Raw genomic sequence first — 26,998 nt, 5'->3', positions numbered from 1 at the left:
CTTTTCAAAGATAAGGTCACAGGTGATGGTTTTGTTTCAGTTGAGAGCTATCAGCCTATCCCTTCATTAAGTAGTAAATAAACATCTGGGTGGTTTTTACCTGGTGTTCCAGGAAATTGAGCTCATTTGTGACATATACTAATGCATAAAAACCTTCAGAAACCCAAAATTTCCAAGAAATTGGCTCCAGGACCATTGGCTATCCACTTTATCCCTGTCGCAGAATCTTAAAGAGAGACTGATACAATGAATGAGAAACTAACAGGTGGGCATCCGCTAGGAGTTAAGACTAGTACCAAAAAAGGAGGCTGAAGAAATATGTTGGTAGCAGAATTCTAAGGTCCCATAGGTCATTTCATTCCACTAGTTTTCTCCTTTATCCACAGGGACAAGTGCATGGTCACCATCAGTGATATGATGGAGCTGACTTATACTATGGAGAGAGCTGATAATGGACAGCTCTTCCCAAGTCCTCCTGCAGTGATTCCAAATTAGATCATGGTGAGAATATTTGCATCATGGAAACTGGTAAATGCTGTGTATAAGTCAGCTCCTCCCACACTTAAAACAAGAGCCAGTTCTTATAAACATTTCCCAGCCCAACATCTAGCCTCATCTTTGTTTTCCCAAGTTTAGTGGCAACTATTCCCTGAGAAAGCCCCATGGATACATCCCTGCCTCACTGACCTGGGCTCGGTTGGTGTACAGCACTTTCATGTCCTTCAGCTTCTCCAAACCCTCACTGTAGCGCAGGATAGCTGTTTCATAATTGCCTTCAGCAAATGCTTCATTCCCTTTTTCTTTTAGGGCTATGGGAATATAAGTTACACAGGTGAGCTCTCACCACACATCAGAAAATCTCTCAGACTTTATTCCCCCGATTTTCCAATTCTATTTCGAAGGTCTTCACTTCTATCGATCCTAAAGGGACTTGACACTTGTTTTTTTCTGCAGATACTTCAGGACCAGCTTCTTCAAGTATTTTTTTTCCTCCAAATCCACCCATGTCTTCTAAGTAGATTCTCAGAAAAAGTAAATGTTTCTGCATTGAGGCTGAGAACCATACTAAGCTTGCCACAGAGACCAAATCTGTGCATTCGGTGTCTCATAAAGAGGGTCAAATAATTAATTTTCCCAACAAATATGGAATCATTCAGACCTGCAGCACACACAGCCCTGGGTGGTATAAAATAAAAGTGAAAACATTCTTCTATCATATGTATCTCCCTGCAACATACACAATCCCATCCCTTCCTTTTCCTTGATGTCTCCTCTCCTATCTCACAGCTGTTTTATTTTTCTTTTCCACTTCTTCATCTATGCCTTAGGCTAGCCAGTGGCAGCTCACTCTCACCCCCCACTACTTCCTGAGCATTGTTTAGTACAATTCACTTTGCTCTGCTAAGTGCACAGGGAAGCTTCAGAAAGAGGTTTCACTGGAGGTAGGTGTATCCTACCCTCTGCTTGTTGCAGCAGGAACAGAGAACAGACCATCAATGATTTCCTTCTGGCCAGGTCCCACTGCCTCAAGCCCATCACAAACCTCACCACTGGGAATCTAGATGTCCTCAAATGTCAGCATACAGGCCTTCGTGTGCTCTTTCTAGCACAAATCATCCCAGCCATTGAAAAGTAAGGACTGACAATTACCATCCGCCAAGACTTTGTTTTCCCTTCTTCTCTTGGCTCGTTCCTTTGCATCCTTCTCCACAGATGCCAAGAAGGCCTCTGACAGCAGGGTAATTTCAGATATTAAAAAGAAAAATCCAAATACTATAATCAGTTCTTTAGCTCAAATTCGAAGTGTTACTTTAGAGCCACACGTATGCATATGCACACAGGCACACACACGCACACACACCATTCTGAGGCAACTAAAATGACATTTTCTTCATTTGACATTAAATGGTAATCTGTGTGATGCATTATTACACATGATGGCTATGACTGTGCTTCAAATTTGAATTATGTCTTTTAAAAGAGTTTTTCTTTGAAGAGAGATTTTTTTGTTCCGTTTAGCATAATGAGCTTCTGAGCTGAGCAACAGAGAAACTATCTGGATCCCTTGAACAGGGTAAATTGGATGATACAGAATAACTGAATTGAGTTTACAAAAGGTTGACCAAGAGAAAATAAAGAAAAACCTCTCAGGGACATTCCCGCTGATCACTAGTAACAGAATGGGATGATCAGTAGGTTTTTGTTCACAGGTTGTTTGTAAGCTCAAAGGCAATAATTTAAGGGTCTGGGAGCTACAATCAATCAAAACTGGTCCTATATAAAGAATGAAAATTGGGAAGAGAGATGCTGTCCTTACCTGAGTTTATTTCTTCTGCACTCTGTAGACGTAGGTTACCATAAAAACAAAGAAACAAATTTCAAAAACCACTCTAATTTATATGTATATAAACCAAGAAGGCAAATCAATTACAAACAAGAGGTCATTTCTTTTAACCATCAAAACTGAAGGGCTCAGAATTCATGGGGCTTGCTTTAAATCAGGAGATCTGAGTATGGGCACAATTGCTATGGGACCGAGTCTGCAAAACAAGGCTGCCCAGGTCAAGGGACCTCAGCTGTGGCTTATGAGTTGGAAATGAGTTAGAATACATTACCTTAAAGGTACAGCTTAAATATATCACACAAGCTCAGGGGGTGGAGAGGGGAAATTTCCATTAAAATAGATCCAAAGGGTTGTTTAAAGATAACCCAGAAAGATCAAAGGAAAAAAAAAATCAAATTTTATACTTTCTTATAAAAAATAAATCTAAGAAACAAAAGACCATTTCAGCCTTGCTGGACAGTTTGAGATTAAACTACTGCCTAGGTGTAGGTCTTCTCACTGTAAGTACTTATATAACTTCTCAATAGAAAAAGAAACCTTCATAGCAGTTTGTGGAGGACTGATCATAGTCTTGTTCAAGGTGGTCCTGCATTCATCCTCCTCCTGGTCTTCCTCCATAAGCAGTAGTCTCTTTTCTGTCTCCAGGACAGCTTTCTGTTGCACAACTGGGTCATCAGAATTCATCTCCTGAATTAAATTGGCTAGAGAAGAAATCAGGTGTGACTTAATCAAACAAGATATTCAAAAGACTCTATTCACTAGAAAGGATGGTGCATAAAATGCATGGGAAAGATCTTAAAGAAAAAAATAGAGCAATAGAAAGCAAAATAGAGCAAGCAGAACCAATGAGAAAAAATTAACAACAGGTTTTTTTTTTTTTTTTTTTGCCTAGAAAAAGTTGCAGGTGAGTATAGCTATTAGCTTTAAGGAACAGAGTTTTAAGCCATTATTCAATTCAACAATAATTTATGGAGAGCTCATTATGAGTTAGATATTATGCTGATGCTATAGATAACAATGATGAATAAAAAAAGATCCTTTTTTGAAGAGTTTATGAACTTGTGTGGGAGACAAACATGTAAGTACAGGCAGCTCAAAATCGCAAAACAGCAGCCCTTAACCCTATCCTCACCTGTCTTCACTTTACTGCTTATCCAGCTTAGATTCCATGGTCAATCACTCAGCAGCCATCCTGCCCATATACTCAACTCCCTTGCCCTGCTATCTCACCTAACAGACAAAATTCCAGCTCTACATAATTCCAATTACCCAATTCTACCAGTCTGCATTAGGAATGCTATGTACTGAGGGAGACAGATAGATGCCTGGGGGACTGGTCCAAACTCAAACTCAACTGGACCTTCAGTGATGCCCAGCAATCCTTGTTATCCTGGGCAAGATATCCTGTCACTCCCCCAATGACTTTTAACAGTTTGCAATCTAAACCTGACCATCTCAAAAAGATGCCCTTATTTATCAATTCAGAGAGGAAAGAGATGCCATCGACTTCCTGCTATTAAAACTACAAAACTGCCTATACCTACATCCATCCTTCCTTACTACCAGGAAAAGGTGCCCATTCTTCTGTAAGGTTAGTCCCTCATCCTGGGCCCAGGATTCCATTGTCATATTTTGCATAATCAGGAACGCTGCATCACCAATTAATAATCCTATTGCGCAATATTTTCAACCTATTCCATTCGACCAGCTTCCTTCTAAATTATGTACTTTAAATCTCTCCTAATGCTCTGTCTCCTCCCCTTCACAATTAAACTTCTTAATTCATTTTCCTGTTCTAATTTCTTCATTTCCCACTGAGTCTTCAAGGAAATTATAAATTTTTAATTGTACAATATTTCAAGCATACCGAAAGTAATATAATATTTTTGTTTCTATGCCATTTATAAGTTGATGGTATCTTTTCTCCAGCATGCTTTAATACTTAGTATTTGTATCATTTAGATTTTGCTGCATCACACACCACATCAAAACTTAGTGGTTTGAAACAAACCACCATTTTTGTGGCTTAGTTTACAATTATCTATGTCAACAATTTGAGCTGAATTCAGCTGGCCAGTTCTGGTTTCAGCTGGACTCACACATATATCCATGGTCAACTGTCAGTCATCTAAGTGGCTCTGCTTTAGAAAGTCTGCTGGCTGTTGGCTTGAGAAATGCAAGCAACCCGGGTAAGTGTGTCTTACTTTCTCATGAGTGGTATGAGTGCAAGCCCTAATTCAAATGCACTTTTCAAGCCTCTGCTTGTGTCATGTTTGCAAACATCCTTTTGGCCAAAGCAACACACATGGCCAACCCAGATTCAAGTGGCAGAGAAATAGGCTCCACTCTTGATGGGAAGAAAGGAATTTGTAACCATTCTTGCAATCTACCAGAATATTTGTGTATGTAATATTTAAACAATTTTTTAAAATAGTTGTATAAAATGTGCATTCATTTGCAACCTACTTTTTTCTCTTAAGATGCTTTAGAGATGTGTTCTTGATACACATGGTTCCAGTTGATTCATTTAAACCATTATATATACCATAGTTAATCCATTCTCTTATTGATAGCCAGGTGGTTTTTCAGTTTTTTCTAAAGTAAATAAATGCTGAATTGAATACCTGTATGTACATATTTCCTTGTGCACATGTTACATATCCTTCAGGATATGGCTGTACCAATTTTTACTCCTACAAAAGAGTACAAGAGGAAGTTCCCATTCTTCTACATTCTTATCATCACTTGCTGGGTTAAACTTTTTAATTGTTGTCAATGTAATGGATGGGAATGGTATCTCATTGTTTTAATTTGCATTTCGCTGAATTTGATTGGAATTGAGCATCTTCTTATTGATTTGCACCCATTTGGATTTCTACGAAGAGCCTACTCCTATCCTTGGCCAATTTTCTATTGGGTCATTGTCTCTTTCTTATTAGTTAATATAATTTCTTTTTTAAAAAATTCTTTTTTTTTTAAGAGATGGTCTTGCTATGTTGTCCAGGCTCGATTTGAACCCCTGGGCTCAAGCGATCCTCCTGCTTCAGCCTCCTGAGTAGCAAAGACTACAGGCACACACCACCATGCCTGGTTGATTTGATTGTGAAACAGGGGAGTTCTCTGATCCCCCTCGCAGGACATGCGACAGGGGTGTGGCTTGCCTGTTTAGTCACCACCACTGCTCAAACCCCTGAGGGGAGGGGGAGAACGCAGACGGACAAGTGCAGGAGCCCAGTTGGGCACGTGTTACAGCGTGTCCTTTTAGCCCTGCCATCTGCGGACGACTTGATTGTTAACCAGCTTGACGGACATCTGCCTTTTCACAAGGGCAGAGGGAAGTGACAGCTTTTTGTATCCCGAGCTCTTGCCCAGCATCCCCGGAAGAATCAGGTCACACACAGGACTAAAGGATGAATGTGGGGTTTTACTGAGTGGTGGAGGTGGCTTTCAGTGGGATGGATGGGGAGCTGGAAGGGGGAATGGAGGGGAAAGATGATCTTCCCCTGGAGCCTGGCCATCCAGTGGCCCAACTCCCCTCTGGCTGCTCCCAGCCAAACTCCTCTCGGCGTTCAGACATTCCTCCTCTTTTCTCTACTGTGTCGTTCTGCCATTTGTCTGCTTGTGTCCTCATCTCACCTGCTCGTCTGCTTCTGGAGCCTGGGGTTCAGAGTTTACATGGGCACAGGATAGGGGAGCATGGCAGGCCAAAAGGCAACTTTTTGGGCACGAAAACAGAAATGCCTGTTTCCACTTAGCGCTGCAGATCTCCCGGCTTGAGGGTGGGGTCTTTGCCAGGGAACCACCCTCTTCTATCCACTATTCCCATCTCCTACCCGTATCAGTTGTATATATTCTGGACTGGTTACATGTATTTCCAAACATCTTCCCCTTGGGTATTCTTTGTCTTTTCATTTGTTTTTATGGAATATGTTGTTGAAGAGATTTTCTTTTTAATTTTAGTGTGTTAAATATACCATCTTTTCCTTTACAATTTAGGTCTTTTGTGTCAGTAAGGTTATAAATATACTCTCTTATGGTGTCTTATAAAAGTTTTAAAGTTTTTTTCTTACTAAGGTATGTAATTCACCTAGAGTTGACTTTCACGTAGGGCAGGAGCATTATTTGTTGAGAAGTCCCTGCCAGCAATGTGTCTCATCATCCCTGTTATGTGTGCAAATCTTCTCCAGGCTCTTCATTCCTTTCCCCTGATTGTCCTTTCCAGCACGAAAACCTCCATGCATTGATTACTATGGCTTTATAATAAATCTTGAATGTCAGGTAGGGAAAGTTGTCCTGCTTTTTTTTTTTTTCCTGCAGAGTTTTCTTGGCTCTTCTTGGTCCTTTGCTCTTCCACGTAAACTTTGGAATCAGCTTGCTGAATTTTAGTACATACTACTTTGCGGGTTTTGATCTAAATTGTATTTACTGCATAGAATATTTTAAAAATTGACATTTTTACCAAATAAGTCTTCCTAGGATTAAATACGTCTCCATTTATTTAGCTCTTCTTTCATGTCTTTTAATTAACTTTTTTTTAAATTAACTCAACTGCACACTTTATTCTAATTTCATTGTTTTTTCTCCCTAATGCCCTTTTCCTATTCCAGGATCCCATCCAGAACACTACACGACATTTAGTCATGTCTCCTTAGGCTTCTCTAGGCTGCGACAATTTCTCACCCTTTCCTTATTTTGATGACCTTGACAGTTTTGATGACCTTGACATTCTATGAGTTTGCATAGAATACCTTGCAATTTGGGTTTATCTGGTATTTTTCTCACGGTTAGACTGGAGTTACAGGATTTGGGGAAAAAGACCATGGCACATTATGGCGTATCAGGGATGCATGCCATCAGTGTGATTTATCAGGAGGTTAACCTTGATCATCTATCTGAAATTGTGTTTGCCAACCTTTTCCACTGTAAAGTTACTTTCTTCCCTCCCTTTCCATACTGTACTCTTTGGAAGCAAGTCACTAAATGTATCTCACATTTAAGGGGTAGAGATGCTCCACCTCCTTGGGGGAAGAGTCATTACATAAATTAGATGGAATTGATTTACTGCTCTCGGTAAACACAAATTCCTTACCATGGTTTCCAAGGTCTTTCCTAATCTGGCCCCTCCATATTCAGATGGGACTCTTCTCTCCTTGATCTCTTCTTTCCAGACATTTGGGGCTTTTTATTCTTTTAGTTCCTCAAAAGCACCACACTCTTTCTTCACTCTTAGCTTTCCTACCTCCTTACTTCCCACCCAGGACACTCCCCTGTCATTTTCCCAGTGACCAACTCCGACTCACTCTTCACATTTTGCCTAAATCTCACTTCTTCTGGAAAACTTTATTTAATTTCTGTTATGGACTAAATTGCATCCCCCCCAAAAATTCACATGTTGAAGCTATAACTCCTGGTATGACTGTATTTGTAGATAGGGCCTTTAAAGAAGTAACTAATCATTGCCCTAATCCAATATGACTAGTGTCCTTGTAAGAAGAGAAACACCAAATATATGCACGTACAGAGAGATGACCATGTGAGGGCACAGCGGGAAGGTGCCCATCTGCAAGCCAAGGAGAGAGGCCTCAGAAGAAACCAAACCTGCTCACACCCTGGTCTTAGATTTCTAAACTCCAGAACTCTAAGAAAATAAAGTTTTGTCATTTAAGCCAGCCAGTCTATTTTGTTACAGCAGCCCTAGCCGACTAATACAACCTCCCAAAGCTGGGTTAGATCCCTACACTTTGTAATTCTCTGTGTCTCATATTGCATACTTGAAATTACTGTTTAATATCTGTTTTCTCCACTGGACTATTAATACCATGAAAAGAATAATTCTTTGACTGTATTCTCTAGGCCTTACCAACACTCAACACATAGCAAGAGCCCAAGAAGTAAATGTACAGAATCTATACACATGTGGCTACATAAATTTAAATTAATTGAAACAAGCCGCATTTCAAACCTGGGCTGCAGCCACAAACACACAGAACCCTAAGCACTAGACCACAGGGTGGAGTTATAAGCCATATTTCAAATGCTCAATAATCATGTGGCTAGTTGCTACCATAGTGGACAGTGAGGATTATGGAACATTTTCATCATCACAGAAAGCTCTATTGGACAGCACTGGTATACATGATACCTGAATGAACTTTGAGTATGCATAAGTTAGCCAGGTTAAAAAAAAAGATGAAGAGGCAGTGGGAATGGCAAAGATCCAGTGCAGAGTGTGAAACACAGAGTATGTGTGGCGAAGTATCAGCAGTTTATTGCTGCTCAAGCGTGAGGTAGGGAGATATGAGAGAGGTAAGGACAAGGTCATGGGAGGACTTAAGTCCTGATGAGAGCTTGGGATTTATTATGACTGCAAAAGGAATCCAAGCAGAGAAGTGTCTGGGTCAGATTTGCATTTTAGATACATTACTCTGTGGGAAGTATAAGCCTGGAGACAGGAAAAACAATCAGGGGGTTGTTGACATAGTCTGGGTGAGAAGAACCAGAACAAAGGGAGGGCTGGAGAGGATGGCTCTCCAACCAAACTAGATGGCTAATTGGATGCAGGGTTATGAGTTGGGAGGAGTCCCAGATGACCTGTAAATTTCTGGATGGTGGTGTCACCAACTGAGACCAGGATGAAGGTGAGGGTAGGAGAAGCAGGTTTTATTTGGGAGGGGGAGGGCAAAGGGGAGGGAAAGAGATGATGCCTCAATTTTGGACACATTTAAGTTTATTTGTGGGATACAGTAGGTATGACAGTACCATAGAGGCAGAGGCTCAGAAAAGAAGGCTAAGTGTCCATGTAGATGTGGGGGTCATGAACAAACAGGTGGCAGGTAAAGCTACATGTTTAGACCAGCTGAAGAGAAAGGTGGCAGTGGGCCAAGGCCAGAGCTCCATGGAACAGCATTCAGGGATAAGCATTATTCATGTATCATTTACGATGTCACCCAAGCTAGCTTTAAAACCACTTTATTCCTTGAACCCATACAATCTGCTACAAGCAGCAATTTCAGCATATTGCCTGTATTTACTATGTAAGGTCTGTTTGCTTGTTGGTTTGTTTGTTTCTATACTCAAGCAAGCTCCCTGAACAGGGACTGACAGGTTTGGAAATTCCTGAATGTGATCTGTGGGATCAGAGTACATTTCTTTGAGATCCAACCTGCCTGAACTTGGGAAAGGACTTTCTTGTCTAGAGAGAGAGAAGGGAATGATGATCATAAACCATCCATGTAATTTGATGGATCCTAAAGGAAAGCCATTTGATTTTGCCTCTGCAGCTCTAAAACAGAAATGGCTCTACTCTAAAACGGGAGGAATCTCACACTGATCAATGAGGTTCTTGACCCTTGAAGGGAACAGCTGGGTTCATTGTCAATGGGGAAACAGCAGCTGGTTTTGACTGGATTCCACATAGAAGGATACAAAATATGGAAGAAAACCGTCAGCCTGAATTCCTATCAGAATGTTAACAGTTTCTCTGATACCAATTAACAGCCAGAAAATACAGCCCTGAGGCTATAACTTGTTTCTCAATACCCTTCTCTTTAATTTCAATTACATTTTTTTCCTAAGAGTTATAAACCTGTCAAGCCACCCAGGAACTTAGAGCAATCATTTATCTACTCCACTTCTCTAAAGCAGAAATTAATTTATGATTTACTAGTACTTACAGATTTCATCCACATTTTTAAGAAATTTCTGCAAATCTTTCTCTTTATCAGCATCCATTGTGAACCGGAATCCCTAAGGGATGCAGCATAATGGTGAAATTAATAATAATAAAGCACTAAACAGAACGGTCAGGCTTATTAGCCTTCTAAAACTAAGAGCCAAGTGATTATTTTTATGACAGTTTTGTTTATGTCAATGAATAACAGCAGGGTGATCCCTTTCATTCCAACTGCTGTTTTAGGCCAAGAGGCACTCATTTACGTGCGGCAATGCTTCCAGAAAGCTTCCAGCCCTCCTTCCAGTGCAGAAAACGCTCTGCAAATAGTTCTTCCAAAGCCAACATCAACCCCGGCGATTTAGGGACCTGGCATGGAGATGAGAAGAGAGCAGATGACAGGTTGCCAAGGATAGAGAAATACACTAACACCTGACTTTGATCATGACAGGCTGGTCTAGTCAGAAGCTTAAATGTGGATGTGTGACAGGTAACAAACTTGGGGCAATTTGCATCTAAATGTCCATACTTGTTTAAAATCTGCCTTTGGCTTGTTTCTGAAGAGTGAAGAAAGGGTACAAATTGACTGAAGGGATTAGAACATAATGTTACCATGCTCACCAGCGTCTCTTCTGCTCTAGGTACCTCAGATATTATTTTACAGTTGTTTTTGTGCGAGAAGGCCCCGTGGTGTACCCAGCAGTACTCAGTGGTTCATCCACAGATCATAAAAATCATCGGGAAGATTGTTAAATATACAGCTTCCTCAGCCGTAGCCCGAGATTTCAAGTCAGTAAACCCGGGACATTGCCCAGACACGAATATAGATTTTAAACACTTTCCAGGTGATTCTCATTTATGGCCAGGTTTCATAGTAGTGTAACACGCTTCTAACACGTAATCTGCCACGAACAAACTACGAGTGATTTAATCGAGTCTCAGTGTCCTCATCTCCACCAGTTACAAGCTGTGTGATTCTGGCTAAATTCACAACCTCTCCGAGCCTCAGAGTCCTCACCCATACTATGGGAACAGTAAGAGAGAAACTACGAGGACTATTCTGGGGACTGATGTAAAGCACCAGGCACGCGACGAGTCCTCACCGTGAAGCACCCTTACCTATATAAAACAGGGGGTGGGGTTGCGGCTTAACTGAATAATCGCTAGGGTTTCTTCCAGGTCAAATCTTTTCAACTCCCACGGAACAGAGGCCTAGTCCAGTGAATTAATCTGCCCAACGGTATGAAGGTTAGAAGGCAGGCGCGCGGGTGCATGGACAGGAGACAACCTCTGTCTCCCAGGGCATGGATCTCAGGGTCCTCACTGCCTGGCCAGTGCCCCCCTACGCTAGGGTGAGAGGGCCAGAGCCAGGTGATGGCGAAGCGGCGCCGCGCTCAGTGCTTCACTCGGTAGGGCTGCGGCAGCGGGGACCTGTGCCCGAGCCCCGCGCGGAGCCTGCCCCAGACGCGCGCTGCCCGCCGGGCGCAAAGAGGCCAGGCCGCACGCACTGTTGCCCAGCAACCGCTCCCAGGCGTCCGCAAGTCCCGGGCCCTCCATGCAGGTCCCAGACCGCAGCCGTCCCAGACCGCAGCCAAGACCTTCCCATGCTCTGGGGCCCAAAGCAGCGTCCTCTGCTCGGCTCTGAAGGCCAGTGCAGGACCAGCTCCCAGGGGGGATTCCGGGGTACCCCGCGGCACCGACCTGATTCGCCCAGCTTTGGACAGGAAATGGCGCAGTGACCTGCCTGGGCTGGGGCGGGGCCAGGAGCCAGGGGCCCGGGGCGGGACCAAGGGCGGGGCCAGGAGCCAGGGCCCGGGGCGGGACCAAGGACGGGGTCAAAAGCCAGGAGGCGGGACAGGGGGCGGGCATGGACACGCGATCAGATTCGCTACCGCAGAGCTCTAGCTCCGGAGCGCGCCAAGTTGAAGGCCAAAGTCGAGGTTGGGATGCCCGATGCCTGGCGCGGGGAGACGGAGGAAGCAAAGTGCTGGTAACTAAAGCAGCGCCTGCTGCTCGCCTTTTTTCTACTGAAGAAGGGTTGTCTCACTCCCGTTAGCTTAATATCCTTGCCCAAAATGTAAAGTCTCCAGTGTACTTGTGAATCCGGTTTTGTTCATTGATAAATGTGTGAGTTAGAAGACTCACACATTTATCCTTAGGAAAGTTATTTGAGTAACCTTTTTAATCCTCAGTTTTCTCACCTGTGAAATGGAGAAATGGCACTTTCTCATAAGGTTTATGGTTAAAGTGCTGTAACCGCCCAATAGGTTCACCTTGCTCACTGCCTAAACAGAGTCGATTTATCAAGACAGGGGAATTGCAATAGAGAAAGAGTAATTCACACAAAGCTGGCTGTGAGGGAGACCGGAGTTTTATTATTACTCAAATCAGTCTCCCTAGCTTTCAGGGATCAGAGTTTTTAAGGATAATTTGGTGGGTAGGGGTCAGTGAGTCGGGAGTGCTGATTGGTAGGCTAGGAGATGAACTCACAGGGAGTCAAAGCTGTCCTCTTGTGCTGAGTCAGTTGCCAGGTGGGGGTCATAAGACCAGATGAGCCAGTTTATTCATCTGGGTGGTGCCAGCTGATCCATCGAGTGCAGTGTCTGTGAAATATCTTAAGCACTGATCTTAGGTTTTACAATAGTTGATGTTATCCCCAGGAGCAATTTGAGGTTTAGAATCTTGCAGCCTCTAGCTGCATGACTCCTAAACCATAATTTCTAATTTTGTGGCTAATTTGTTAGTCCTGAAAAGGCAGTCTAGTTCCTGGGCAAGAAGGGGGTTTGTTTGGGAAAGGGCTGGTATTGTCTTTGTTTCAAAGCTACACTATAAACTAAGTTCCCCCCAAAGTTAGTTTGGCCTATGCCTAGGAATGAACAAAGACAGCTTGGAGATGAGAAGCAAGATGGAGTCGGTTAGGTCAGATCCCTTTCACCATCTCAGTTATAATTTTGCAATGGTGGTTTCAGTGCCTGGTACCTAGTCAGTAGGAACAGGTGGCACGTGACATCCGGGGAATCATAGGGTTTAGAACAGAATGAGCTAATAGGCACATTCATTCATGCCCCAAATACATGCACACAGCCCTAAAGAAATTTCAGTCTGTTTTTCTAAACAAAATCTCAGAGTATTATGTGCAGGGTTACCAATGGAAAAAAAGCAGGTTTAGGGGAAACTTGAGCTTAAGTTCACGGTCAGAAACACCCGGAACTTCTTGGCAAATGAGTGCTTTATGGAAACCTGTTTGGCAGGGAACAAGGAGCCCCTAGAGATGGAATTCGCCAGAGGGGAGAGGGATCCAGGCATGGCCAGCTAGCTCTAGTGTTGATTCCAAGTACAGCCTGTTGACTCTCTTGTGGCCTAGGCCCCATAGGATGCATGCCTGTGTCCTGTAGAGAACAGAAGAGCTGTTTGGCTGAAGTCTCTATGATGCATTGGTACACATACCATCCTGCTTGGGTACCCCTCTAATGCAGTATAACACAAAGGGGCCACGGATGTTCTGCTCCTCTTGGCAGCTGAATGGGTACAGCATCAGCAGAGTGAGTCTTTTGGCTCATCAACTGCAGCAGGAGACCTGGGGATCCCAGCAGGACATGGTCACAGTGGCTGTCCCAAGGGAATGAGGTGCCTCAGGAGAAGTAGCAGACAGTGTAGGTGCCTGGCAGGAGCAAGGACGTTGATGAGCACAGGCTAGGCACACCATAGGGATCCTCAGAAAGATATAGGGTACTTCACAGTGACCTTCCAGCCTGTGGGAATTGATGGAGACAAGAACCAGTGATGTTTTGGTTATCACCATTAGTATCACCCCATTTTCCTCTTAGGCCTGTGAGGCCTTGAATACATGAAGGCTATATGCCTATGGTCCCCAACCTCAGGGTGTTTCTTATCACATTGAGGCCAATAGTTCCAAATCACTTACTTCCTATCCTACTACTCTTTTCACTAAACTCCTTTCCTAGGTTCCAGAGGTATCTGCCCACAACTGACTGTACCACCTAACCATTCACTCACACATTTGTTCAGCTAGTGTGAGTGGCCTGTAGTGTGCTAGATGCAGCGGAAGGCCCCTGGGGTGCACTTGACAAATAGTCATCACATGCTAAGTGGTTAAGAGCTGGGGCTCTGGAGCCATTTTGCTGGGTTCAAATCTCACATCTCCACCTATTAGCATTCATTAAAATGTCTTGAAGCACCTACTATGCACCTTCTATTGTGCTATGTACTGGGGATCATATTCCTCCTTTTTTATTACTAACACTACTGAAACCTTCCTTACAAACTTTATAAAATTAATCAGGGAAGCAGGGAAGGGGAGAAATAAAATAAGCCCAGCTTGCAGCACATTCAGCATGAACCATGAGGTCAGCTTGTTCTCTGGCCTGCTTCTTCATAATTATTTAGTGTCTGTTATCTCAGAATCACGTAGACCCAGTTACAATATTATAGTTCCCCTTAACTGCTCTATAGTTAACAACTTGAACATAAAACATTGTGTTTTCCACTTGGAGTATTCTTTCAGGTCCTGCATACCAGTGAAATTACTAATGTCAGCTGTTCTGAAGGACCCATTGACACCAGCTGGTCTGAGGGCCCCACTATGACCCTGTCCTGCTGCCCCCCCAGGTCTCCTACTGTAGCTGACCAGAAGTTGACTCACCAAAGAATGCAGTTCCCAAATCCTGATACTTTCATCCCCCTTATCCCACCAATGGACAACCCCAGTTATCTAGCCCCTCACCTCCATGATCTCCTTAAAAACCCCAGCCCAGCACTCCACTGGGAGATAGATTTGAGGGACTCCTCCTCACTGCAGCTCTCCTCCCCCTCACTTGGTGCCCTGTGATCTGATTCTTTCTGTGCTGCACATCCTTGTATCTCAATGTAACTAGTCTCTTATACACAGTAGGCATACAGTCTGTTGGTTCTATGCATCTGCTACTGCTACTGCTAGATGTGTGACCTTAAGCAAGTTACTTAATCCCTGTGGGCCTTAGTTTCATCATCTGTAAAACTGGGTTGTTAAATGATTCTCTATCCCATAGGGTTTCTGTGAGAGGTACATGAGTTAATACAGGCCATGTGCTTAGAACAATGCCTGGAGCATTATCAATACCTAGTAAGTATTATTAACTATTACTACTACTATGATTCGTATGTGTTAGACCAGGTCCTCTAAACCTTGATTGTGTGTAGAAATTGCCTGGTGATCTTGTTTAAACAGGATAGGGGCTGAGATCTGCAGTGACATCCCTTTATGGACTGTGGCCACACTGAGTAGAAAAGTGCAGACACTTCATTAAATGCTGGGATGCAGCAGAGCACCAGTGGTACCTAGTCACCAGACTCAAGGAGCTTATCACCCAAGGGGAATAAGGGTCAATAAACAAAATCATCATGTAAATTCTCATTGTGATAAGTGCCATAAGAAGTAAAGGGTGAAAAGCAAAGGTAGCACAGGGTGCCATGGAAGTCTAGTCTCAAACACTGGAAGTCTTCCCTGATGATGTGGTGTTTAAGAAGAGACTTGGGGGGTGAGTGGGCATTGGACAGTTAAAGAGGGAGGTGGAGAAAGAGCGAATGGCATGGGCAGTCAGGAAGGAGCCTGGTATGGAGGAGGAACCAGCAGAACACCAAGTTTGTCTGCTGCATGGAGAACAAAAGGTAAGCAGTGCAAGATGAAGCAAGGGCCAGATCACATTAGGCCTTTGAAAGCCATGTAAAGGTTTTTGGTCTTTATCCTAAGCATCATAGGCAGCCTTCCAGGGGTTTTAGCAGAAAAGTGACATGCTCAGATTTTTATTTTTTCTTAGAAAGTTATTCTGGCTGCAATGCAGAGAATGATCTGGAAAGAGGTGAGAGGGACACTGGTTAGGAGTTTGTTGTGGGTACTGGCAGTAGGAATAGAGATGAATTTGAGATGTATTTTCGAGGGAGGATTGACAGCAGGAAAGTATCAATAATGACATTAGGTTTCCAGCTTGACCAGATTAAGGTTCTCCATTGGCTGAGCTAGAGAATATTAGAGAATAATGTTTGGAGAAAAGATGAGGTCAGATTTGTGATATCCAGTCCAAAATGCCCATGAGTTATCCAAGTATAGATGTGGAGTAAATTGATAATTGTCCCTTAATATTTGTTCTCCTCTTCTTCAGATCTACCAATTTTTAGCAAGGCCCAAGACACCTAGAGTAGACTGTGTTTCCCAGCTTTCCTTGTGTAATACACGATCAAGTTCTGACCAATTAGATATAAGCAGAGGTGGTGGTGCTACTTCTGGGAAGTGTCCCCAAAAGGATGCCCTTTTCCTTGCTGATTGGAATGGGGACCCAATGGCTGGAGCTGGGCCAGCCATTTTGGACCATGATATAGAAGCATTGTGTTGAGGATCTAGAAGGAGGTCGGGTCCTGAGATCATGGAGCTGCCTCAAGGGCTTTGGACTGCCCGACTTCATATTTCTATATGAGCAAGATATTGAACGCCAACAGGAGATACTTCAGTTGCTGGAAATATAATGACTTTTATTGAAGATTCTGCTATCTTGGGTTTTCTGTCACTCCCAGTCAAACCTAATGTTAACTGATAAGGAAAGCACTCTTCGTTTATTCATTCATTCAACTAACACTCTCTTAATGTTTATATCTAATTTTTCATCATAAGTCCCTACAGTAATATTATACTAGCACAATAGAAATGTTAATACTTTAAAATGAAGCACAATAATGTTATACTAGCATAATAGAAATGTTGATATTTTAAAATGAAACACATGTTAATTTTTAAATGCATCTCATCCAATAAACTTTACACATTGGAGCAATTTGATACTGAGATCGTGAAATTAAGAAGGTTATGTTATTCTTTTTTCTCCTTGAAGTCATTTTTCCATTTTATATCTCCCCATACACACTTGGAATACTATCCTATTATGGAATTTTTTTTCTGTTTTTTGAGATGGAGTCTTGCTCTGTCACCCAGGCTGAAGTGCAGTGGCATGATCTTGGCTCACTGCAACCTCCACCTCCTGGGTTCAAGCAATTCTCCTGCCTTAGCCTCCTGACTAGCTGGGATTACAGGTGTCTGCCACTGTGCCCAGCTAATTTTTGCATTTTTAGTAGAGACGGGGTTTCACCACATTGGTCATGGTTGGCCAGGCTGGTCTTGGACCTCTGACCTCAGGTGATCCATCTGCCTCAGCCTCCCAGGGTGCTGGGATTACAGACGTGAGCCACTGCACCCAACCTTATGGGATATATTTTCATGCTTGCATCTCTTTTATTGATAATCTCATCATACTTCACTGCCACAGAAATATCAACAAAAGTTGTTGGAGTGTTTGCTGTGACCAATTATCATACTATGAGCCAGGGGCACAGCCTCTGTCCTCAAGGATCCCACAGTCTAATGAGTAAGACAGATGCATAAACAGATTATTACATTAATAGAACAGTATGATAAGGGCAGTGAAGGTCTAGTGCCTAAGGAAGAGGGAGGGAGAAGGAAATGCTGTCAGGCAAGTCCCCACAAGAATAGGGATTTCCCTGGTTAATGTGCAGGCTGGGAGTGTGTAGACGGCTCCAGGCAGAGGGGACAGGACTGGCAAAAGTTTAGAGGCAAGAAACATTGTGAAAGGCAAGAGTGGTGCAAGATGAGCCCAGAGATGTGGGTAGGGGCAGCTATATCCCGGATGGAAGCCATAGGAAGGGTGTGGAACAGGGACACAACAAGGCAAGAGCCCAGGGATGGAATGATAAGAGTTTATTGGGCAGGAGGGATGCAAAAGACGGGGGCAGCATGTTTGCTCCTGGTTGAGCTGGAAGTCACAGACATTCGTGGCTTCTTCAGAAGTCACTTCCATCTTGATGACTCCCACATACATCTCTGCGAACCCAAACTTTACTCCAAGTCCCAACTCTCTAAATCCAACAGGGTAACTAGACAATGCCTTTCCTGGGAGTAGGGATTTTGCTTTATTTTATCTTTGTATCCCCAGCCCCTGGTGCTTAGTTGGAGCTAAATAAAGATTTGTTGAATAAGTGAGTTTTTCTCTTGCTCTGCTTAGAGGAAGGTTCAAATATGTTATTCTAGATGGAAAAGGAATAAGGGTGTTTATAGTTTCTCTGCCTCAACCTTCCCAGAGTGGTCCATCCTGGAGGATAAGCACTGTTACAGTCACAAAATACTTTTCAGGATAAATCTTGCACTTGACAGATTGACCACTTTAACATGTCAAAAGTCCTGGTAAACCCCGGATAGCCACTGGGCTGTCCAGGAAGATTCCAATTTCCCCACTTCCAGGTGCATCGTAGGATCTCACTTCTCTATGGCCTGGTGATTTGCTTTGGCCAATGCAGTGTTGGGAGAAGTGAAATGGGCAGAAGCCTTTAAGCGCCAGTTTGACTCCCCATACATGTCCTTTCCCCCGACCCAGCAACCAGATGGTGTCCCTGAGTGAGTTCATGGAGGACAGGTATCTGTCTACCTTTGATGGATATGTAGAATGAGTGAGCAACAGACCTTTCTTGTTATAATCCATAAAACCTTGGGGCTTGTTTGTTAACGCAGCATAATGTAGCCCATCATGTCTAATACGGCCACTCGGAACACTTCTTCTTCACTTGTTACAATGGCAAAGTCTAGGGACCTCGCATATGAGTATATGTAAATAACAATGGTTATGATTTACATTTTAAGTGTCAATGTCTATGTATTTTCATATATATTCAAATGCACAGAGGGAAACAGACTTTTAAATTGTTGCTGACTTGCGTTTCAAATATATTTCTCCTAGAGAACCTTTATGAATCATATTTTCACAACGACTACTTCCACCTGATCCAAATCCCTTGTGTGATACTTCAGTTTTACTTTTGTTTTATGTTCTCAATAAAAATGGGAGAACATTTGTTCACGGTAAGTCTGAGACTTGGAGATTGTACAGTAAATCTGAGACTTGGAGATTGTATAAGTGGTCTCCCCTCTCTTTTACTCTGCTCTCTCTTTAGTGTAAACAATTGTCTTTGTTGTCTTTGTCTCTCTTTGTCTTTTCTCATCAACCATACTTTAAAAACTTAGGTGCAGCCAGGTGCGGAGGTTCACTCCTGTAATCCCAGCACTTTGGGAGGCTGACACGGATGGATTGCCTGAGCCCAGGAGTTCGAGACCAGCCTGGGCAACATGGTGAAACCCCGTTTCTACTAAAATACAAAACAATTAGCCAGGCACACCTGTAGTCCCAGCTACTTAGGAGGCTGAGCTTGAACCCAAGAGGTGGAGGTTGCAGTGAGCCGAGATTGCGCCACGGCACTCCAGCGTGGGCGACAGAGCAAGACTCCATCACTAAAAAACAAAAATAAATAAAAGTTTAGGAGAGATATTTTTTTTTCTCCTGAGGACATGAGGAATAAAGAGATCTCACCTTTGCCTGCTAAGAGTGATTGGTGTTGACAAAGTCAACCTGAATCCAGGAACCAAACTACAAACATGGCCCATTAGACAAAGACCCCTCACCATGGATGCTGGAGCTGCAATTGATTTGATAACTTTGGCTTCAAAATTTAGAGAAGGAGGAAGCTGAAGGAATGTAACACTGTCTTTTTCCTCCCTAAAGAGAATTCAAAAGTCACATTTGATTTTTTTTCCAAACCTATGTCCTTTTGAAAGAAAAAAACTAAAAACAAACAAACAAAAAACAGCATTCTACCATAGACGTAGAAATAATTTCAGGATCCAGTTAGACTTAGTCTGTGTGACCACAGGGGCCAAGAGTCTTCCTTGAGATTTCTATACTTAATGAAATGACACTACGGTTATTAACAACAACAACAGTAATGATAGTAACTAGCCCTTAATGAGCTGCTATGTTCCAGGCATTGTGCTCAGTCCTTTACATGCATTATTTAATTTAAAGCTCTTGATAGCCTTACAAGGTCTTATTCCTATTTCAAAGACAAGAAAATGCAGTGAGAGAGGTAAAGTGATTTGTCAGAGGCTGAGCCAAGATGTGAGCCCTGGTCTGTGTCCCACCAGAGCTCAGGCTACCCCACCGCACCACACTGCCTCAGATGTACTTTCTTGAGAGAGCCCTGTTTTAAACTCCTGCCATCAGTGACCACTCCAGGAGCCTCTGGGCCTCGCTGGGCCTCGCTGCGCCTCGTGAACGTAGAAGCCTCCTTACAGACTGCTCCCTCCACTTCACAGGCTGGCCCACCCCTGCAAAGGTGAAAGATACATCTTAACTATAGCCAGAGGGGCATGCCCCCCACTCCATTAAGAAAGGCAGCGTGTCTCCATCAATGTCATCTTTGGATCCTTTCTGGGGATCGTAGGACTTCTCTGCCTGAAAAAGAAAAGCACTGGGCATTCAGTGCCAGGTGGAACCGGTGCCACCAAGCCTGCCTAGTGTGGAACAGCACTGCCACCGTGTGGCAGACTGGCTGCACCTGGACAACCACTGTGGCAGAGAAAGGCTGGGACCCACGAGCAGTCAGCCATTCATGCATTTATTTAATGTTTGCTGAGCACCTACTATGTGTCTCGTACCTGGCTAGCTGCCTCTGACTGCTACTGCTGCTGTGATCACTTCTCTGGATAGTGAATTAAATGATGTCAACAATTTAGGCTCCAGAGAATGTTTAACACTTATTCATCATTTATTTAGGGTACTTGGTCATTCATTTAGGGGTGATTCATACCACTCAGAAATTATAAAGACAGAGCCAGGCACAGTGGGTCATGCTTGTAATCCCAGAACTTTGGGAGGCTGAGGCAGGAGGATCACTTGAAGCTAGGAGGTCTAGACCAGCCTGGGCAACAAAGCAAGATTCCATCTCTGAAAAGAGTGAAAAAAAAAAATTAGTCAGGCATGGTGACATGTGCCTGTAGTTTCAGCTAATCAAGAGGATCACTTGTGCCCAGGAGTTTGAGGCTGCAGTGAGCCAAGATCATGCTACTGCACTCCTGCCTGGACGACAGATTGAGACCCCATCTCGGAAGGAAGGAAGGAAGGAAGGGAGGGAGGAAGGAAGGAAGGAAGGGAGGGAGGGAGGGAGGAAGGGAGGGAGGGAGGGAGGGAGGAAAACAGAAGAGAAGAAGAGGGAAAGGAAAGGAAGGGAAGGGAAAGGAAGGGAAGGGGAAGGAAGGGGAAGGAAGGGAAAGGAAAGGATAGGAAAGGAAAGGAAAGGAAAGGAAACAATTGTGTGATGCACAGCTTTGTGCAGTGAGGTTTTTTTTGCCTCCAAGGTTTTGGGGACAAGAAGGCACACAGAGAATTAAAGGAGTCCAGAGTTACTTGCTGTCCTGATATAGATCCCATCTCAATTGCTATAAAAGGTTGAGATATGTATTTCTAGAACACATCTTTGCTTCTTTTATATCAACAGTTTAAGAGCATATTTAAAGTATATAATTAAAACTTAGAATATAGAGAAAGACAGAAAATTTTCATGACCTCTTACCCCAACAGTACTATTAACATTTTGATGTATTTCCTTTCAGTCTTTCTTCTACATATTTTTGCAATGATGTAACCAGGATTACATACGATTTTGTTTTACTTTATTGGCATAGCATAATGTCATCATAATCATAATAGCTGACACATTCTGAGCACCCTTGATGTCTCAGGCTCTTTATAGGAGCTTTAAACATTATCCCATGAAACCAAGTTACAACCTTAGGAGATAGTGTTATTATCTTCCTTTTAGTAGACAAGGCAATCAAGGCTCAGAGAGGATACATATTTGTCTTGTCTCTAGTTAAAGTCTATACCAGGTAATTGCATTGTTTTCATTACTGATATTTAATATTCACATTGCATTCCATTTATTCATTTCTCTACTTCACTTGACTACTTGCTATCATTTTAGAGCTTTAGTTGTTTCTAATATGTTTTGCTCATGTAAATATTGCTGCAACAAACATCTCTAAGTAAAACTTCTTATGTATCTCAGATTATTTTCTCTGGGTAGCTTCTCATAAATGGGTTTCTCAATCAAGATTTCAAACTTTTATGGTTGTTAATATTCCCAAATAGATTCTCAATGGATTTGTACAAATTTGTACCATTTGCCAACTATGACCAGCAATGCTTGAGAGTGCTAGTTTCACAGTATCCTCATCAGCACGCTTAATTTTTTTCTGATCTAAAAGATGAGAAATAATCTGACAAATGAATCAGTGATAAATGGACTGTTTTTGTGTATTTTATTATTGGAGAGCCTGGAACCCCTTTCACTTTTCATCACTTACACTGGTGCTTTCCAGCTTCCAGAACCACAGTGAAGAACAGTCTATGTTATCTCACCTGGCTTTTCCTTCCTCAAATTGCATATCCTTTTGGACAGCCCTAGAATGTCTCTGCCATCTTGTATCCTTTAAACTAAGAGTTCTTAACTTAGGGTCCAGGGACCCCCTCCCAAGGGTCCATGGATAGAATTCAGGGTGTCTCTGAACTTGATTGGGAACAAAATTGTATTTTTATTGTTACCAATCTGTCACTGGAATTTAGCATTGGTTTCATTGTTTTTTTTTTCCAGCTTTTTATTTTATTAAAAAACCTTTTTTAAATTTCAATAATTTTTGGAGAACAGGTAGTGTTTGGTTGCATGGAAAAGTTCTTTAGTGGTGATTTCTGAGATTTTGGTGCATATGTCACCTGAGCAGCATACACTGTACCCAATGTGTAGTTTTTATCCCTCACGCCCCTCCCAACCTTCCCTCACAAGTCACCAAAGCCCATTATATCATTCTCTTTTTTTTTGAGACGGAGTCTCGTTCTGTCACCCAGTCTGGATGCAGTGGCACAATCTTGGCTCACTGCAACCTCTGCATCCCAAGTTCAAGCAATTCTCCTGCCTCAGCCTCCTGAGTAGCTGCAACTTCAGGCACCTGCCACCATGCCTGGCTAATTTTTGTTATTTTTTAGTAGAAACAGGGTTTCACCATATTGGCCAGGGTGGTCTCAAACTCCTGACCTCAAGTGATTCTCCCTCCTCGGCCTTCCAAAGTGCTGGGACTACAGGCGTGAGCCGCCATGTCTGGCCCATTATATCATTCTTATGCCTTTGCGTCCTCATAGCTTAGCTGGCACTTATAAGTGAGAACATACAATATTTGGTTTTCCATTCCTGAGTTACTTCACTTAGAATAATGGTCTCTAACCCCATTCGGGTTGCTGCAAATGCCATTAGTTTATTCCTTTTTTGTGGCTGAATAGTATTCTATGGCATATATATATATATATATATAGCTTTTATTCACTCATTGGTTAATGTGCATTTAGGCTGATTCCATATTTTTGCAATTGCGAATTATGGTGCTGTAAACATGCATCTGCAAGTATCTTTTTCATATAATTACTTCTTTTCCTCTAGGTAGATACCCAGTAGTGGAGTTACTGGATCAAATGTTAGTTATGCTTTTAGTTTTTAAAGGAATCTCCATACTTTTTTCCATAATGGTTGTACTAGTTTAGATTCCCACCAGCAGTGTAAATGTGTTCACTTTTTACCACATCCATGCCAACATCTATTTTTTTTTTTATTGTTTAATTATGGTCATTCTTGCAGGAGTAAGGTGGTATCTCATTGTGGTTTTTTTTTTTTTTTTTTTTGCACTTCCCTGATAAAGGTAGTGATGCTGAGTATATTTTCTTATGTTTGTTGGCCATTTGTATATCTTCTTTTGAGAATTGTGTATTCATGTTCTTTGCCCACTTTTCAATGAGATTATTTGTGTTTTTTTGCTGATTTATTTGAGTTCCTTGTAGGTTCTGGATCTTAGTTCTTTGTCAGATGCATAGTTTGTGAATATTTTTTCCCACTGTGTGGGTTATTTATTTTGCTGTGCAGAAGCTTTTTAGTTTATTAAGTCCCATCTATCTATCTTTGTTTTTGTTGCATTTGCTTTGGGTTCTTGCTCATGAACTCTTTGCCTAAGCCAATGTGTAGAATAGTTTTTTCAGTGATATCTTCTATAATTTTTATGGTTTCAGATCTTAGATTTAAGTCTTTGATCCATCTTGAGTTGATTTTTTTTTTTTTTTTTTTTTTTAGATGGAGTCTTGCTCTGTCACCAGGTTGGAGTGCAGTGGCGCAATCTCGGCTCACTGCAACCTCCGCCTCCTTGGTTCAAGTGAGTCTCCTGCCTCAGCCTCCCAAGTAGCTGGGACTACAGGTGCATGCCACCACACCCAGTTAATTTTTGTATTTTTAGTAGAGACAGGTTTTCACCATGTTGGCCAGGATGGTCTCAATTTCCTGACCTTGTGATCCATTCACCTCGGCCTCCCAAAGTCCTGGGATTACAGGCATGAGCCACCCTGCCCGGCCGAGTTGATTTTTGTATAAGGGGAGAGAGGAGGATCCAGCTTCATTCTTTCACATGTGGCTAGCCAATTATCGAAGCACCATTTCTTGCATAGGGTGTCCTTTTCCCACTTCATGTTTTTGTTTGCTTTGTCAAAGATCGGTTGGCTACAACTATTTGGCTTTATTTCTGAGTTCTATATTCTGTTCCATTGGTCTGCATGCCTATTTTTATACCAGTACCATGCTGTTTTGGTGACTATGACCTTATAGGTTGAAATCGGGTAATACGATGCCTCCAGATTTGTTCTTGTTAATTAGTCTTGCTTTGGGTATGTGTGCTCTTTTTGGATTTCATATGAATTGTAGGATTGTTTTTTCTAGTTATGTGAAGAATGTTGATGGTATTTCGACGGAGATTGCATTGAATCTACAGATTGCTTTTGGCAGTATGGTCATTTTCACAATATGGATTCTATCCACCCACGGGCATAGGATGTGATTCCATTTGTGCCATCTATGACTTCTTTCAGTGTTTTATAGTTTTCTTTGTAGAGATCTTTCACCTCCTTGGTTAAATATATTCCTAATTATTTTAAGTTTTTTGTTGTTGTTGTTTTGCAGCTATTATAAAAGGGGTTGAGTTCTTGATTTGATTATCATCTTGGTCATTGTTGGTGTATAGCAGTGCTACTAATTTGTATACATTCATTTTGTATTCTAAAACTTTACTGAATTCATTGATCAGATCTAGGAGCTTTTGGAATGAGTCTTTAGGGTTTTCTAGGTATATGATCATATAATTGGTGAACAGCAAGTTTGACTTCCTCTTTATCGATTTGGTTGCCCTTTATTTCTTTCTCTTGTCTGACTGCTTCGGCTAGGACTTCCAGTACAATGTTGAATAGAAGTGGTGAAAGTGGGTGTCATTGTTTTGTTCCAGTTCTCAGGCAGAATGTGTTCAACTTTTTCCTGTTTGGTATATAGGCTGTGTGTTTGTCATAGATGGCTTTTATTACCTTGAGGTAAGTCCCTTCTGTGCCAATTTTGCTGAGAGTTTTAATCATAAAGGGATGCTGGATTTTGTCAGTGCTTTTTCTGCATCTATTGACATGATCATATGATTTTTGTTTTTAATTCTATTTCTATGATGCATCACATTTATTGACTTGTATATGTTAAACCATCCCTGCATCCCTGGTATGAAATCCCCCCCACTTGATCATGGTGGATTATCTTTCTGATATGTTGTTTGAGTCAGTTAGCTATTAATAGTATTTTGTTGAGGATTTTTGCATCTACGTTTATCAGGGATACTGATCTGTAGTTTTCTTTTTTTGTTATGTCCTTTCCTGGCTTTGGTATTAGGGTGATGCTGCCTTCCTAGAATGATTTAGGGAGGATTCCCTCTTTATCTTTTGGAATAGTTTCAGTAAGATTTGTATCAATTCTTCTTTGAATGCCTTATAGAATCAGCTGTGAATCCATCTGATCCTGGACTTTTTTTGTTGGCAATCTTTAAGTTACTGTTTAAATCTTGCTACTTGTTATTGGTCTCTTCAGAGTTTCTACTTCTTTCTGATTTAATCTAGGAGGGTCGTATATTTCCAGGAATTTATCCATCTCCTCTAGATTTTCTAGTTTCTGTGTGTAAAGGTGTTCATAGTAGCCTTGAATGATCTTTGTGTTTCTCTGGTATTGGTTTTAAGATCTCCCATTTCATTTCTAATTGAGCTTATTTAGATTTTCTCTCTTATTTTCTTGCTTAATCTCACTAATGGTCTATCAATTTCGTTTATCTTTTCGAAGAATCAGCTTTTTATTTCATTTATCTTTTGGATTTTTGGTTTCAATTTCATTTAATCCTGCTTTGATCTTGGTTATTTCTTTTCTTCTGCTAAGTTTGGGTTTGGTTTGTTCTTGTTTCTCTAATTCCTTGAGGCATGAGCTTAGATTGTCTATTTGTGCTCTTTCAGACTTTTGGATGTAGGAATTTAATGCTATGAACTTTCATCTTAGCACTGCTTTTGCTGTATTCCAGAAGTTCTTATATATTGTGTTACTATTATCTTTCAGTTCAAAACATTTTTTAATTTCTATCTTGATTTCATTGTTGACCCAAGGATCGTTCAGGAGCAGATTTTTAAATTTCCCTGTATTTGTATAGTTTTGAGGGTTTCTTTTGGAGTTAATGTCTAGTTTTATTCCTCTGTGGTCTGAGAGATAGTTGATATATTTTTGATTTTCTTAAGTTTATTGAGACTTTTTTTTGTGGCCTATCATATGGTCTGTCTTGGAGAATGTTCCATATGCTGTTGCAAATAATGTATATTCTGCAGTTGTTGAGTAGAATGTTCTGTAAATATCTGTTAAGTCCATTTGTTCTAGGGTATAGCTTAAGTCCCTTGTTTCTTTGTTGAGTTTCTGTCTCAATGACTTGTCTAGTGCTGTCAGTGGAGTATTGAAGTCCCTTTCTAGTATTGTGTTGTCATCTATCTCATTTCTTAGGTCTAGTAATAATTGTCTTATAAATTTGGGAGCTCCAGTGTTAGGTGCATGCATATTTAGGACTGTGATATTTTGTTTGTTGGACTCATCCTTTAATCATTATTTAATATCCCTCTTTGTTGTTTTTTTTTTAACTGTTGTTGCTTTGAAGTCTCTTTGGTATGATA

General features: G+C 41.8%; 1 protein-coding gene and 1 long non-coding RNA gene across 14 annotated transcripts in view, besides 3 other annotated features; one reads left to right on the top strand and one right to left on the bottom strand.

The window, feature by feature from the left end:
- Positions 1 to 11,750, bottom strand: part of TTC12 (tetratricopeptide repeat domain 12) — a 58,715-nt gene extending 46,965 nt beyond the window's left edge. For 3 of the 9 annotated variants that reach the window (NR_147891.2, NM_001318533.2, NM_017868.4), the window contains exons 1-6: positions 11,715 to 11,750; positions 10,018 to 10,090; positions 2,882 to 3,045; positions 2,318 to 2,339; positions 1,651 to 1,728; positions 688 to 809 (exon numbers count right to left, since the gene is read on the bottom strand). Coding sequence is in view for 6 of the 9 variants with exons in the window: in NM_001318533.2 (NP_001305462.1) it covers positions 688 to 809; positions 1,651 to 1,728; positions 2,318 to 2,339; positions 2,882 to 3,045; positions 10,018 to 10,075 (444 nt within the window). In the remaining 3 variants the exon portion in view is untranslated. Of the gene's footprint in view, positions 1 to 687; positions 810 to 1,650; positions 1,729 to 2,317; positions 2,340 to 2,881; positions 3,046 to 10,017; positions 10,091 to 10,634 lie in introns of all 9 variants that reach the window. The other 6 variants (NM_001378063.1, NM_001352037.2, NR_165392.1 and 3 more) reach the window with 5 other exon arrangements.
- Positions 11,372 to 11,666: a silencer, noted in NCBI's record as "tiled region #9915; HepG2 Repressive DNase matched - State 1:Tss, and K562 Repressive non-DNase unmatched - State 1:Tss". NCBI's record gives its function as "represses a minimal TATA promoter and a strong SV40 promoter by Sharpr-MPRA in HepG2 and K562 cells {active_cell/tissue: HepG2 | K562}" and the evidence as "EXISTENCE:reporter gene assay evidence [ECO:0000049][PMID:27701403]".
- Positions 11,380 to 11,479: a silencer, noted in NCBI's record as "silent region_3909". NCBI's record gives its function as "represses an Ori minimal core promoter by ATAC-STARR-seq in GM12878 lymphoblastoid cells {active_cell/tissue: GM12878}" and the evidence as "EXISTENCE:reporter gene assay evidence [ECO:0000049][PMID:35858748]".
- Positions 11,690 to 11,939: a silencer, noted in NCBI's record as "silent region_3908". NCBI's record gives its function as "represses an Ori minimal core promoter by ATAC-STARR-seq in GM12878 lymphoblastoid cells {active_cell/tissue: GM12878}" and the evidence as "EXISTENCE:reporter gene assay evidence [ECO:0000049][PMID:35858748]".
- The window catches only part of TTC12-DT (TTC12 divergent transcript), a 36,020-nt gene continuing 20,898 nt past the window's right edge, over positions 11,877 to 26,998 (top strand). For all 5 annotated transcript variants that reach the window (NR_186360.1, NR_186361.1, NR_199709.1 and 2 more), the window contains exon 1: positions 11,877 to 12,003. This is a non-coding gene — a long non-coding RNA (TTC12 divergent transcript). The remainder of the gene's footprint in view (positions 12,004 to 26,998) is intronic.

Source organism: Homo sapiens, chromosome 11 (genome assembly GCF_000001405.40).
Source record: "Homo sapiens chromosome 11, GRCh38.p14 Primary Assembly".
In the NCBI taxonomy this organism is placed as follows: Eukaryota; Metazoa; Chordata; class Mammalia; order Primates; family Hominidae; genus Homo; species Homo sapiens.
The sequence above is the reverse complement of the archived record's forward strand: the minus strand, read 5'-3'. Positions and strand labels throughout refer to the sequence as shown.